At 42.3% G+C, this 2,159-nt stretch overlaps 1 annotated feature.

Annotated features, from left to right (window-relative positions):
- Positions 532-826: an enhancer, noted in NCBI's record as "tiled region #11342; HepG2 Activating DNase matched - State 12:CtcfO". NCBI's record gives its function as "activates a minimal TATA promoter and a strong SV40 promoter by Sharpr-MPRA in HepG2 cells {active_cell/tissue: HepG2}" and the evidence as "EXISTENCE:reporter gene assay evidence [ECO:0000049][PMID:27701403]".

Raw genomic sequence — 2,159 nt, forward strand, 5'->3', positions numbered from 1 at the left:
TTGTTTTAGGCTGCTAAGTATAGAGGTAATTTGTTACACATAAATAGTTAAGTAGTTTACTCTCACTACCACTAGAACGGTCAGACTTACCTGGGCAGGCAACAATGGAATTTAGAACAATCCTGTGGTCCTAGAGGCCCCCAAGCCAGAAAGCAGCACCTGCCCGACGCCTGCTCTTTCTCTTTTAGTTATGTTACAGAAGTAGTTTACAAATGTCTGGTGATCCTTTTATTCCCCAGAGGCAATTGGACTCAGCAAAAACAGCTGAATTCCACTGCAAACAACTCTTTGACTTAAACAAGATTATTCTAAGAAATCACAAACCAAAAGCCCTTTTTAAAATCAGGGCTTCCTGAGAGTCCAGGGGAATTGGAATTGTGTGATTCCACTGTATGACGCTCAGTACAGTGGCTGTAGCGCCATAAGGTCACCTGCCCAGGTTGCTTTGGAGGAAAACTGCTTTTGATTTCACCAGCAGGTGAGCAGACTGGATCACTTTGGTGACTTGAATGTCTTGGGATGCTATCAGGCCATCCTTCTGCTGTTAAGAAGTGCTGCCTGGACAGCACAGTTATCACAAAAAGAAATCCTTATCCATTTTTTCCCTGGGATTAAGCCTGCTCTCTTAATCAGTATGCAGAGTGAAAACCCACTGGGACATGAGGGACAGCTCTGTCACCCTGCTGTACTGCCTGGTAAAATTCCACTAGCTTGTCAAGATCCAGCAACAGCATTGCTTCCTCTGGGCAAACATCACTTGCTTTCATTCCACTCCCCCATGTGGTAGAACAATAATGCCAGGGACTGCTATCTTTAACACTGTTGTACATCATGAGTACACTGCCTTAGGGTTGTCTGTGCCTCCATCCCACTGACTCAGGCTCACTTTAAGAGGAAGGATTTTGCTGTAACTGTCTTGATACATCCAGTGTGCACCTGACACATGGAAGACATTGGGTAAATAGCTGCTGAATTAATTCATTCAGCAACTATTTATCAAATTCCTACTTTGTGCCAGGTACTTGCTCTGGTGTCACCGCAGGAAACAAAACACACAAATTCTTGCCTTCAGAGATCCTAATTTCCACTCAAAGGAGTCAAAGGATACACAGAAAATAATAAATAAATTGTAGGGTATATTATAGGTTATATGAGAAGATAACAAATATTATACAGAATAATAAAGCAGGAAAAGAGAAAGAGGAACAGCAGTTTTAATAGAAGCTTGCATTTGAGCAAAGACTTGTAGGCATAGAGGAATTTAGCCAAGTGGATCTGGGGAAAAAGTGTCCTAGGCTCAAGACACAGTCAGTGCAAAGGTCCTGGGGTAGGGGTATGCCTGATTTATTTGAAGAACAGCAAAGAGGCCACAGTGGCTGTAGCCATGTGAACAGGGAGCACCTGTTACAAGATAAAAATAGAACTGGTAATGGTGTCGGGTGCTGTTTGTGTAGGAATTTGTAGGACAGAGTAAGAATTTTAGCAGAGGAGTGACACAACCTAATATAGGCTTTAAAAGGACCCATTAGACTATTCAATTCAGTAAAAATAAAAAGAACTCGTAGGAAGGTTTGAGTGGAAGCAGTTAGGAGGCAACAATGACAACCCAGGTGAGAGAAGATGGTGGCTTGCACCAGGGGAAGCAATGGGGGTGGTGAAAAGTAGTCAGGCTCTGGATATATTCTGAATAGTCTTTTCTAACAGATTAGGTGTGTTGTGAGAAAGAAGGAGAAGTTGTGAAGAGTCAAGGGTAACTCCAAGATTTTTGGCCTGAGGAACAGAGAGAGGACTTACTATTGGTCAAGGTGAAAAGAACAGAGGTGGATCTGGTTTTGGAAGAGATCACAAGGCCATGTTTGGAAACGCTGAGTTTGATATTTCTACTAGCAAGACATTGAGGAGATGGTGGGATATTTGAGTCTGAAATCCATGGAGAATGTGTGGGCTAGAGGCATAAATTTGAAGGAACTAATAAACTTGAGCACATTACTCTCTTGATTTTATCTCCTCAACAGTAAATTGAGGTGGCGGGAGAGGATATTAGGCAAGATATTCGAATAAATGATTATCTGCAATTCTTTCCTGTGCTAACATCAGGCATTTATCTGAAAGACAATTCAGCATCCCACATTGCTCACCTCTGGCATTCTGCCTTTGCT

The sequence above is a fragment of the Homo sapiens genome, chromosome 20 (assembly GCF_000001405.40).
Source record: "Homo sapiens chromosome 20, GRCh38.p14 Primary Assembly".
Lineage (NCBI taxonomy): Eukaryota > Metazoa > Chordata > Mammalia > Primates > Hominidae > Homo > Homo sapiens.